The sequence below is a fragment of the Homo sapiens genome, chromosome 18 (genome assembly GCF_000001405.40).
Source record: "Homo sapiens chromosome 18, GRCh38.p14 Primary Assembly".
In the NCBI taxonomy this organism is placed as follows: domain Eukaryota; kingdom Metazoa; phylum Chordata; class Mammalia; order Primates; family Hominidae; genus Homo; species Homo sapiens.
The window spans coordinates 32,832,768-32,845,904 of record NC_000018.10 but is presented as its reverse complement, the minus strand read 5'-3'; the positions used below and the strand labels follow the sequence as shown (position 1 = coordinate 32,845,904).

Here is a 13,137-nt window from a genome sequence, read left to right as displayed (position 1 = left end):
AGATTTCTCAAATAGTTTTACACATATTGGACGTTCATTATAGCAACCTTGACTCCAGCAAACCTTCATGAATCAACCTGTTATAAAATAGAGCAGTCCAGTAAGGCAGATAAATACTATCATCTGCTAGAGCATCCCAAAACATTCTTCATAAATGATGTTTCGTGCAACATGATTAGAAAACACTGCCATCTTCCTTAAGGTTAAACCTGTAACGATTATGTAAATAAGAAATAAAAACCTCTGCATAGAATTGTATTCATATAACTTATGAAGCAGAAGTAAAAAGTCACAGAGAATAAAACATTTTCATAACAGCAAAGAATCATAGCTAATATTTCTCAAGCATTTGCTCTGTCCAACACTTTATAGGCATTACTTCATTTAAAGTAAATATGTTCATAATAATCAAGAATCATGGCTAAGATTTCCTAAGTATTACCTTATTTAATATTCACAATTACCGTATGAGGTAATGAAGTCAATAATTAATATTCTACTCAACATATTATTATTTAGGGTCATCATGCTTTATTTAAGTTGTGATTCTCAAATTTTCCCCCATCAATAGCAGATTATTTTCCCATCCAATGTCTAGTCTCTCTTCTTTTACTGCCTTCCAAATGTTCAAAACCCCACAAAGGCCTTAAAGGCCCAACCCTCCCTTATCCAAACCAAAGGCAACACATTGACCTCATTCCTGCCAAACGACCTAGAATATTTAATGTCATTATGGTATCTTTTGGAACTTGCTTACAACTTGCTTATCAGATTATTGATTCTCCTGTACTGTTCAAATGATTTATGTTTTTGATAAAACAATAACTGAAGTTCTTTACAAAGAAAAACAGCTTGCTTGTGTGTGTGTGTTTGTGTGTGCTTTTACATGTTCTCCACAAACAGACTGGAAACTCCTCCATACACTAACTTTCTTGTTGATTATTGGAATACACATTTATCCTATCTTTTGATTATCAAATGCTAGTGTAGGTCAGTGGTTATCTTTAAAACTGTGGTATAAATACTTCTGTATAGCAGCCCAATAACGTGATTCCCTCTCACTACTTAGCATAGTTCTAGCTACAGAGGTGATAATAAATATTTGAATGCAAAATGTAATTGACTTTAATTATATCATCTCAATTTCTATATCCAGTTGGTCTCCTGTTACTTTTTAAATGCAAATTCTAAGTCACTCCTCTCATCTTTTTAAAAATGCTTGTCTAAACTTCTTTGTGCCCTAATTTCCTTATACATAAACTGGTAGTTCTGATTGTGAACCAAAATAATAGTAGTGAAGAAAAATGAAATATTAATCATAAAGCATATACAATAGTGCTTGGCACATAGCAGATACCCAATAATTATTTACAATTATTATTTTCCTCTGGCCTCTTTCATTTGTTTTAAAATGACATGCTCATCTTTGCTCATTAAAATTAAGAGGTTGAGGGCCAGGCTTAGTGGTTCATGCCTGTAATCCCAGCACTTTGGGAGGCCAAAGTGGGCAGATCACTTGAGGCCAGAAGTTTGAGACCAGCCTGGTCAACATGGCAAAACCCCATCTCTACTAAATATACAAAAATTAGCTGGGCATGGAGGTGCACACCTGTGGTCCCAGTTACTCAGGAGGCTGAGGTGGGAGGATCACTTGAGCCTTGGAGGTGGAGGTTGCAATGAGTCAAGATTGCACCTCTGCACTCCAGCCTAGGCAACAGCATGAGACTCTGTCTTCAAAAATAAATAAATAAATAAATAAAATAAATTTAAGAGGTTGAGATGATACACTGAAACTATACATAGCCCCGATTACCATGTTATTCTTATCTTTTAAAAATAAGTAAATTGCACACTACTTTAATAACACACAATTTGTATCGTCGTTATCTAGCAGACATCAGAAAGTAATTAAACATGGTGACAGATTTTAAAGCAACACAATTCCTTCATGTACCATGTTTAATGAATTTCTATGAAACTGAGTTCCTACTACACTTCAGGCATTGAAGATATCATCATGACTAAGACCAATTCTTGCCAGAAAAGATGTTTAAGCGGGACGGACACGACACAGAAAGCATTCAAAATGGGTTTTCCCATGACACAGTTGTACCTCGTTTTCCTTTCCATACCACTCGGTTCCTCTGGGTGTCAGTGGCACCCTCCTCTTTTCCGGAGTGGTACCTTTGAAAGGTGGGGTCTTTCACACTCAGTTTGGATGGGACTCAGTGAAATCTGGGATATGGGAGATGATCCCAAAAGGAAAGCAACCCTCTACAGATGGGCAACATTCATGTGCTGAACCACTGACAGAGGAACAGGCAACAAATAGTGCTCGCCAGGCTTGCACCCTGCTTCCTTGTCACTTCTGTTCCAGAAGCTGACGACAATTCTACCCACATGATTGGGCAAGATGAGCCTCTATTCCTGACCTCCTCTAAGATCATGTCCCATCAGCATCAAAGTTTCCCCACCAGCCCAGAAGCATCTTGTGGGTAAGGGAAATGTAGTAGGGGAGATTCCTCTGCCTCTTTCTCTATGACCTTTCTAATCCGTTGTTTTGTTCTGAACTTGAGAGAGGTAGGAGGCAGCCAAATATGCCTGGGCAGATAGGGGTGTTTCCCCAGTGAAACCCCACCTCCAAGCTGAAGACAGTTTAAAGCCTGAAAGCCAAGCTACAAGTTAAATCTTCCAACTGAATTGAGAACTTGTCTTCCCGTTTGGTGCACTTTCCTCTGATTGAGCCCCACTCTTTACTTATTTCGCATGTACCTACCCTTTCCTAATTGCTTTCCTACACTGTTGTGCCCACCTTTGAGTGGCATCTTCGCTTTAACCTTTTTACATACTCACAAGCCAATCAGCATACACTCCCCATTCTGAGTCCATAAGAGGTCCTGGACCCAGCCACAGGTGGAATTTTCCCACCTCCAGGTAAGGGAACCACCCCCACATTCTCTCCACTGAAAGCTGTTTCATTGCTCAATAAAATTCTTCTCTGCCCTCCTCACCCTTCAAAGTCCAGCATATCCTCATTCTTCTTGGGTGTGGTACAAGAGCTCAGGACCACTGAACGCAGGTACAGGCTATAACACAGGCAAGCTGGGGCACACCAGCAAGGCTGAGTGGGGCCCAGGCTGGGCATTGCCAGCCAGAGGTCCCCAGCTTGCAACCTGACTGAGAAGAAAAATCCTACATCAAACTCTTTTAAATAATGCAAATCTATATTTTTTATAAGTAAAACACAAACATTCTAGAAGCTGTACTATAGCTTAAAATGTATATAAAGGTCAAAAATATGCTGATAATTGTGATATCAAAATAAAAAGCTCATTAAAGGAAAGATGACCTCACATGTTTTTGAACTGTTGAAACAAATGCAATCATTGATAGACTTTTTGCAAACTAGAAAAAATACTTATAACAAACACAACATTAAAGTTTTACTATCTTTAATACAGGAAATGTCCTCACGAATTAATTAGAAAGAAAGAACTCATACTCTAACAAATAAGTGAGTAAAGAACATGAAGAATCAATAAACATACATACATATACACACATATATAAAGACAGATCAGGAAAATTTGTAAGTGCACTTTTTTTCAGATATTACAATAAATGCTAGTAAAATCAATGAATTTTTACATAGCAAATTAACTTTAAAATTGGTAATATTTGGGGATGATAAAAATAGTAATGCAGAAACCATCAGCACCATTAGCGAGGCTAAATTTGTACAATTATGCTGGATGAAGTTTTGTAAAAATGTATCTATTTTTGTAATCTTAAAATTGTGTACAAGCTATATCCCAGTAATCCCTCTTCTACAAATTTACTCTGAGGAAATTATAGATGTGCCAAAGATTTATTTATCAAGGTTGTTTATCATAAGCTTGTTTAAGATACCCAAAAACATGGAAATAATCTCAAGCCTAACAACAGGGAATTACTTGGATAAACTGTATATATCCATATAAGAAAAAACTATAAAACCATTGCAAATGAGGCTGAAAAAGAATAGAAAGATAGAAATATATTCATGTTATATTGTGGGCATCGGTTACAAAACAGTTTGTACAGCATAATTTATTATTGTAGTATTTGACAATAAAAATATCCTTGAATATAAAGAAAATTATACACCACAGTGTTTATTTCTGGTGGCTGATACTGCAGTGATTCTTATTTTCTGTTTACTCCTTATCTAATTGTATAAATCTTCTACAATGAGCTCCAATTGTTGCCATAAAAGATTATTTTAAAATGTTAAAGTTAATGGCAAATAATTAGGTAATCAAGTAGTCAAGTAATAAATTTTGAAGCAACAGGAGAAAGTTGTCTTGAAAAATGTAAGAGTGGGATATTCAGAGCATATAAATCCTAATGTGGGAATGTGGGAAGCAATCATGTAGTGGAAAGAATGAAATCAAATAAAACAAGTGTACGGAAGAAGACAAGCTGAGATTCGACACTGATACAGAGGGAAAAAAGGCATCTGAAAAAGGTATCTGACCATTAGATAAGGTAAGTAGGTAAAGAAGCAAGCTTCTAGAGGGTTTGAGTATTCTAACTGAACATCTTATCACTCAAAATAATGATGTGTTTTCATTTGATGCAAATGTGATAATGGCCAAATTACTCTAAAATGCAAACATCTTAAAGGGTTGCTAGTAGAGCTCTGGAAGCAGTTAATTGATCTCCAGCATGACTGGGATTTTCAGGCTGGTGTTAAGTTTAACAATCTTGAAAGGTGTTTTGGAGTTCAAATGCAAAATAAGTCCCTCCCTTGGAGGGAATTCTGTGAATTAGTTGGAGACACAGGCATTTACAGCTCACAGGTTTCCTCATTTGCTGGTGGGTATCGTTATCTTTATAGTTCTATATATAAAATAGGCAAATGTCCCAGGTCATGCCTTCTCTCATGAAAAATTGGGCATTTGCTGGGGGGTGAGAGGAAGCCCAGAAAAGTTTGAGAATGGGCAGGAATACAGAAAATATAAATGAACACAAAAGGGCATCAGTTTAGATAACTAATGGATACCCATCCCCAAATATAAAGGAATTTTCCTCTTGGGGGAAAATTTTATTTCTGGTAACTACTCATGAACACATCTACAATTCCCCTATGATCCAGGAAAACCAATACAGAGAGATTTCCACCACACTGGTATGCATATTTCCTACCATATAAATGCATAAATTACTAAAATCAGTGATAAGATTTTGTGGACAGTAGGTTTTGTGGTTAATGAAACAAACTGGACAGTAGGTTTTGTGGTTAATGAAACCAACTGACCTTGAGAGGCAGGTAAATACTACTAAGTTCATTTTTCTTATGAGCAAAATTGAGACAACAATACCTGAGTTGCAGGGTTGTTTAGAAGATAGAAGTAAATTATATACATAAATGCTTAGTCCATAATAAACAGTGCTGTCATTAAGACATTGATTTTTTTTTTCCTTAGGACAAAGTTGACCAGGGCTTGTTGTAAATGCATAAGACAAGAAACATATGTAACTTGGGCTGAAATATAAAATAGAAATGTTTTAGTTGACAACTTTTTACCTGAAATGTCATAGACATTCAGGAGCAAAAGTTGAATGCTTGTATTTACAACAAAGTTTGAAATTAGTTCCAAATTTATCTATCAGGTGTGGGCAGTATTTTAACAATTATTTGATTATTTGAGCTACACTTGCATTTTCGATTGTAAATGCATTTGTACCATTTCTAGACAATTCTATGTAATTTAGCACAGTAAATGTGAGCAAGCATGCTTATGTTAATGTCAAATGACTGGTGAGATTGTTTTCCTACTCACCATAACTAAAATATTTCTATAGATTTTGATCCTAAACTAGTATTAAAAGTAATGACAAAGCCATGATTACTATTTCACCAACCTAATACAAAAATATGAAAATTATTAAGACTAGGTAAATTAATGTTTGAGAATTTTTCTTCTCTTCCTTTCCTTTCCTTCCCTTTTTTTCCTATCCCTTCTTTTGTGTTTATTTCTCTTTTCTTTTTCTTACTTCAGAGTAGGCTAAGTTTAGCCCTATTTATATAAGATATTTTAGAGAAAAACTTTCCAGATATAATAATTTTCTAAGTAAATATCTTATGCAAGCTTATTTTAGCTTGTCCTTATTGAAGGAAACTTTCTGAGTGATTGATCGCATCCTATAACATTACAGTATGGTGTCATAAATGACAATGATATCGTCAATCAGTCAGCAGTATGTTAATTTTAGTTTAAGAAAATTTGAATCAGATGCTTTAGATCTAGAAAAAGAGTTCAATCCCCCCATTCCCAAACTGTCCAAACCCTGCCACCACCACCACCTTTTGGAGTGGACAAGTTGTTTGGCTAAGGACGCAAAGTCAGTTGATAACAGAACCTGACTTAGAACCCAGGCATCTAACTCCAAGGTGGAAGGTGAAGTATAGGCATTTCTGAGAAAGGATCAGAAATACATTTTAATAATAAACTTTTAAACACAACATTGCAAAGCATACCATACTCATGATACTTCTTAACCAGATTGTTTTTCTTGTGATTTCAAAAGTTGTGAGTAGAATGGAGTTTTAGAGTAAGACGATGGGTGTTTGTTTGAATCTCTGCTCCACCACTTAATCTGACCACAACCCCTCAGCATGAACTTCCCCATCTATAAAATGTGGATAATGACAACTAACTCACAGGAGTGGTAAGAGAATAGTATAAGAGAAATCATGAAAGTAAAATCAATTTGTGAAATATAAAAAAAGTAAAAATGAAAGAGAGTGGTATTATCATTTTTACCCAGCTTGCAAAAATCCTGGCCCCTGTATTATGAGTAAAGTTGATTTCCAGTTCTCTTGGCCTATTCCAGCAATATAGCTCTTACATTTAAAATATTGAGGATTTTTCCAGTGGGATTTTTGCTATGCAATAAGGAAATATAAGTAATTATCTAAAACAAGGCCATCTAATTATATTAGGGGGTTCTGATAACAGCATAAACCATGAAAGTGGAACTTAAGTGCTTTATTATCAGAATCATAAAACAGAAATACAGCCTGTTATTGCATTATTACAAATTCTTTATTTTTATAATACAGAGTGCTTCCCAAATTATTGTTTTTATACTCAATATATTCCTGTTAATTTTTCATATAGATATTAAAATTATTTCATAATATAATGCCATTTTACTAATGGATTTTTTGGTAAATATACTACAGTAAATAGTATAAAAAACATGACAGAGTGGAGGTCTTTGCTATAGTCATTAATTTTCCCATGTTATACACCAATTAGCCATGTATCATATCTGTAAAAATATACATAGGGCCATATGCACATAATTGAAACCCGTACCTAATGATACCCTCGTAAACTATTTTCCCACCATTGAAGCACACATATGTTTAACTTTGAAATGCATTGCCAGAAGAATGCCTTTGAAAAAAATCTCACTGCAGATGAAGTCTCATCAATTGCTGCTTTTTTTCTACTGTATACTTTATGAATTGCCTAATCATAATTAACTCCAACCACTGGAATTAATTACTCCAGATGATTTGGAAATTGGTCTTCTCAGTTCCTCAGAAATTCATTGAGATCATCCCACAAAGCAGAGGAAGGAGTGTGAATAAAGCAAAAACTGTCTTTGAAAAAACAAACGTGTTTTAGGATTGTGTTTTGTTTATTAAAAAAGGAGAAATAGGGTCAGAGAATGACTATAAACACATTTTATTCTTTTCTAGTTTCATAGAATTATAGCCATTCAGAGCTACAGTGAGTAGCTATTTCAACCCCTTCATTTCATCCACATAGAGAGACTGTAACAGCTTGAGTGACTTGGTTGAGGTCACACATAGAGCTAATGCCAAAACCAGGAAAAAACCAGGCTCCCTGTCACCACAGCACAGTGTTCTTCATACTCAACCTGACTATGTTGATGTCATGGGTTCATGATCCCAAACTTATGTCGGGATTCTGTTCAGCTGAGAAATAAGAAAGAAGGATAATGGGTCTTGTAAGACTTATAAAACAAAAATCAGATAAAAATCATACATGGACACTAAGAGGTTGGCAATTGTGGGGATTCATTGACAATGAGCCCTGTGCTCAGGAAAGCCCTGGTATTCTTATCTGAGGAAAGCTTGGATTTGGGTGAACCCACCCCAACTTCGTCTCAGTTGTTTTCAGATTCACCGTCACAATCTTTCCTCTCTAAATATGTTGTGGTTAGAGAATATAAATCTGTTATGTTTGGTAGAAACCAATTCTGCATCAGAGGACTTCAAGGAAGAATTGGAAAATAGTGGATAAAAATTTGTAGTTTTTTTAGTTGTCAGAGTAAAATTTACGTTTTAAAGATGTATACTTTTTAAAAATCAAACGGTTACTATTCACACTAAATCAAAAGGTTAGTGTTAACCTGAGAGCTGCTAAATTCTCTCTCAGAAAGAATCTATGTAACCTAGCCAGAGCAGAAATCTGAAAAGCAGGAATCGGAGACAAGGAATGACCTAGAGTTTGTCATATCTTCCTAAAAAGCAAAAATTGGTATTAATGGGGAAAATACAAATAAAAGAAAAACAATAAAAGCAAGCTTAATTATTATCTTCCCACATCTTCCCTGGGGGCTCCCTGATATGACAAAGTAAAAGATAATGCAATAAACTAGTTGAGTCCTCCCAGAAGCAGATGCCAAGACAGAGCTAGAAGCACAAGACATTAACTGGGGAGAGTGACTTGAAAGAGAAAGGGGAAAAGAAACAAGAGCAGTTAGGAAAAGCCTTTTAGACCATGATGGAGGTCTGACACCTTGCAAAGGTGCAAGGGAAGGAAGAAAGAACAGGGAGGAGAGCCTCAGACCATGGTGTAGCCCTGGGAAAGCCTCGGCTAACACAACGAGTAGCTCCAGCACAAGAAGGGCCCAAAAAGGAGCATCTCACCGTCCAGAAATAAATTGCAAGCCCATCTACTGCTGCTTTGCTCAGTCATTGGCAGGAGGCTGCCTTGCAAGTGCTTGATATCTGCTCAAAAGCTGAGGCAGATCCCAAAGTCAGCACAACCAGGGGCTGTTGGCCATGCGCACTCTTTGTAGCAGGTTCACCCTTGGAGGCATCTCTGAGTGGTGCACCACCATGGCGACACACTTGCAGGCATTGATTCTTTTCCAGTGTCATTGCCTGGGTTGAAATTTATGACAGCCAATCAGATCATTTCACCTGTGTCACCAAATCTGGTTTAGATGCCAACTCTATCTAAATCACTTATGCAAATAGTTTTGTAAAGACATTATTTTATTTTAAATGTCCACATCTTATCTGGTAAAAAACATATTATAAGCACTTTTGGGACCTTCTTAGGTGTGAACTATTTACTCTTACAAGTGCCCCATACTTTCAATGTCATTTAAGGTACAAAATAAAAGTAACTTTATGTTTTAGAAAACAACTAATTCTAAAAATTTTCCTTTAAATTCTGGAAATTGGAATATTATCTCCCCTGAGTATCCATAAGATATTTACTCAACCTTGATTCTTCTCATTGATTTTGTCTCCCCACAGAAAAGCAACTTCATTTTTTGTCCTGCTGATTTGTTTTAATCAAATTGCTCAGTGTTACAAAACACAAAATAAAGGAAGATGAGCTTTGCTTGTTTTTTCCAGATGTGCTCTGGAGCAGTTTTGATTTCTGCTTCCTCTTCCAAGACTTGGGCCTCTGTGTGTCACATTCATTGGTGCTGGACTCTCAGTTCCCTCACTGGACAACACACACAGGCCAACATGTGGAGCTGGACTTATTCCCAGGCTCCTGCCTCCTAGGCACTGCAGAGTATTTGGTCTTTACAGCAAACTAACCCAGAAAAAATTTATTTCCTCCTTGTCAGAAATAAAAATGCATGTTATTGCCCACAGTTTTAAGCTGTAGATGTAATATTTTCATCCAATAGTGAAGAATGGTGTCATTCCAAATTTAATGTTGAACCCTAACTTCTCCCCTGAACTCCAAAATTATGTGTTCAACTACCTGCTCAACATTTCCACCTGATGGATGATGATATGGTTTGGCTCTGTGTCCCCACCCAAACCTCATCTCGAATTGTAATCCCCATGTGTAGAGTGAGGGACCTGGTGGGAGGTGATTCGATCATGGGTGTGGTTTCCCCCGTGCTGTTCCCTTGATAGTGACGGAGTTTTCATGAGATCTGATGGTTTAAAAGGGGCAACTTCCCCTGTGCGTGCTCTCTCTCTCTCTCTCTCTCTCTCTCTCTCCTGTTGCCATGTAAGATGTGCTTTGCTTCCCCTTCTCTTTCCACCATGATTGTAAGTTTCCTGAGGCCTCCCCAGCCATGTGGAACTGTGAGTCAATTAAACCTCTTTTGCTTGTAAGTTATCCAGTCTCAGGTAGTTCTTTACAGCAGTGTTAGAACAGACTAACACAGATGGTCAATGGGAAAAGTCATCTAAAATTTAGCATATACAAAACAGAACTCATCCCTCCCACATGTGCTCCTCCTTCAGTCCTTCCCCGTGGAGTAAATGGTAATGACCCTGGTTGCTCTGGTTAAAAACCTTGGACACACCGTTGACTCCTCTTTTTCCCCGCTTTGTATCCAATCAATAAATGGGTCATCTTACTTCTCCCTAGAGCATTTCTAACCACTTCCACTCTTACATCCCTCATCCAGACCACCATCATCTCTCACCTGGAGCATTTCAATAGCCTCTGAACTGGCTTCCTTGTGGCTTCTTTTGCTTCATCAGTCCATTTTCCATTTAGATGTCAGAGTAGTTCTTTGTAAGCCTAAGATATTTCATCTCACTTCCTTGATCAAAACTCTCCAAAGACCTGTCTTCCTCTTCAGGATGAAACCTGAAGTCTTTGCCACAGACTCTGGGGGCTTGCCACTGCTCTGACTGCATCTCAGACCGCCGCCCCTTTCCTGCACTCTTCTCTGGTCTTTGGGCTTCCTTGGTCTTCTTTGAATAAGTCAAACACCCTTTTCTCATCTCAGGATCTCTGGGATTACTGTTCATTCTGCCTAGGGAAAAAAAAAAACTTCATCCTACCGTTCTCAGCTCAAGGACAGCTTCTGGAAGAGAAGCAAGGGGCACGAGGAGAGTTAGGGTGAAGCTCAGAACCAGAAGTGACCTGGCAATGTGGAGACAGCATAGAAAGTGCACTGGGGGCTTGGGTCTATTTTCCCTAAGCCTCAGAGCACAGGGGAGCTCCAGCTGGCATTTGGGCTATCTGAAAAACTGCTGAGCAAACCTCCTACTCTCTGCTCCACAAAGAAAATATTCATTGGTGGCTATCAAATGCCAAGTGCTTTACCTATATTATTCCCATAAATGCCCACAACAACACTATGGAACATATGTGATTATCATCATCATCGTTACACATATAACGGATGTGAGGTTCCGCATCATGGCCAGGCCATGTCTATTGAGACAGAACAAAGATCCAGTCACAGGTCAAACCGACTCCAAAGCTGATGCTCCTTTCTCTGTGTCATGCAGGCTCCCCATGAAATAAGATGCATGCTTCATGTGTATCAGACCATTTGTCAGTCTCAGAACAATCCCTACAACTTCCCATCTTCCTGCACCCCAAAATCCATCAGAATAGCCTCTCACACTTCCAATCTTTTTTTTACTAATAATTCTGACTTATCATCCCAAGATTAGCTCAAATGATCAGCTGGTTGTCCTCTACCATCTTCCTTTCCACTTCAAGTAAGAATCATAGATTCTCCTTCAACCCAAATGGTGTGTAAACATGGTTTGTGCCTCTGTTCTGGTATTTTCAAACCTTCATTGCTGTTAGCCAGGTATAACTTCACTCCATCAATGCTAAGTTCTTTGAGGTCAGAGCCATATTTTTGTTATACTTTTATCCCTCAACACGTAGGACAATGCTTTAACATGTTAGATATGCAGTAATACTGTTGCAGTTGAATAGAATTGAATGGAAATAAATATTACAAAGTCTCAATTTGCTAGTCACTGGCAATAATAGATAACTTTCATTGAACACTTACTAGGTGCCAGGGGCTTGCTAATCCCTTACATGATACACCTCGATTTATTCCTGACAACAACTTATGTCCTGACTAATATTATTACCTACACTTAACATAGAATAATATTGAACAACAGAGAGATTAATTAACTGTACTAGTGGCCTCGGAGCTAGGAAATGGCAGAGCCAGGATTTGAACCTGGGCAGTCTGAATAAGAGCCCATGATTGAACCATAACACTAACCAAAATTGAATTTGTGACCTCAGTAACTACTCTAACAATTGCCTCTTTTTGTCCCATCCCATCTACAGCTGTGCCATGTTGTGGCATATTGTCTATGCACTTAACTGTTTTAAGCTGTGTTTCAGGGCACAGTCCAGGGGCCAGAGAGATTCATTTGTCAGCAAGTGGATATCAGCTGAAGAGTGGTTAGATGTGTTGAGTCCAAAGCAAGTTCTAGGGTTTGGAATTCCTGTTGAGGTATTCATTGTGACAAAACAGTATCACTGTCAACTAGAAATCAGGCTAGCCAGACTTATTCATTCTAAAAATAAACAATCCTTCTTTTTTTAATGCCTAAGAGGTGTGGAGACACAGGAGACCAGTTAACATTTTGTGGTGATCATGGAGTAATCATCAGGTCTGACAAAAATGATGGACACAGCTATTAAGCCATGGACATGGGACCAACACCAGGGTGCATGCTGGCCACCCAGCCTTCAAATCACCTGCTGAACAACACATTTCACTGCTGCCTGAGACAGCGGTGCCTCTAAATGAGCTCTTAAAAACTCCAAATTACAAGGAATGTTAAAATCTTAAAGATTTTCTAAGATAATTGCTAAAAGGTTAATTAAAACTTGAGACTGATTTGGCCATTTAAAACTAGCTTTTTTCGGCCGGGCGCGGTGGCTCACGCCTGTAATCCCAGCACTTTGGGAGGCCGAGGCAGGCGGATCACGAGGTCAGGAGATCGAGACCATCCTGGCTAACACGGTGAAACCCCGTCTCTACTGAAAATACAAAAAATTAGCTGGGCGTGATGGCAGGAGCCTGTAATCCCAGCTACTTGGGAGGCTGAGGCAGGAGAATGGGGTGAACCCG

General features: G+C 38.0%; 1 long non-coding RNA gene across 18 annotated transcripts in view; it reads right to left on the bottom strand.

The window, feature by feature from the left end:
* The window catches only part of LOC105372058 (uncharacterized), an 83,282-nt gene extending 70,813 nt beyond the window's left edge, over positions 1-12,469 (bottom strand). For 14 of the 18 annotated variants that reach the window (XR_001753390.2, XR_935347.2, XR_001753391.2 and 11 more), the window contains exons 1-2: positions 12,382-12,469; positions 10,714-11,049 (exon numbers count right to left, since the gene is read on the bottom strand). This is a non-coding gene — a long non-coding RNA (uncharacterized LOC105372058). Of the gene's footprint in view, positions 1-7,726; positions 7,997-10,713; positions 11,050-12,381 lie in introns of those variants that run through there. The other 4 variants (XR_935361.2, XR_935360.2, XR_001753399.2 and 1 more) reach the window with 3 other exon arrangements.
* Positions 12,470-13,137: the final 668 nt, after the last annotated feature.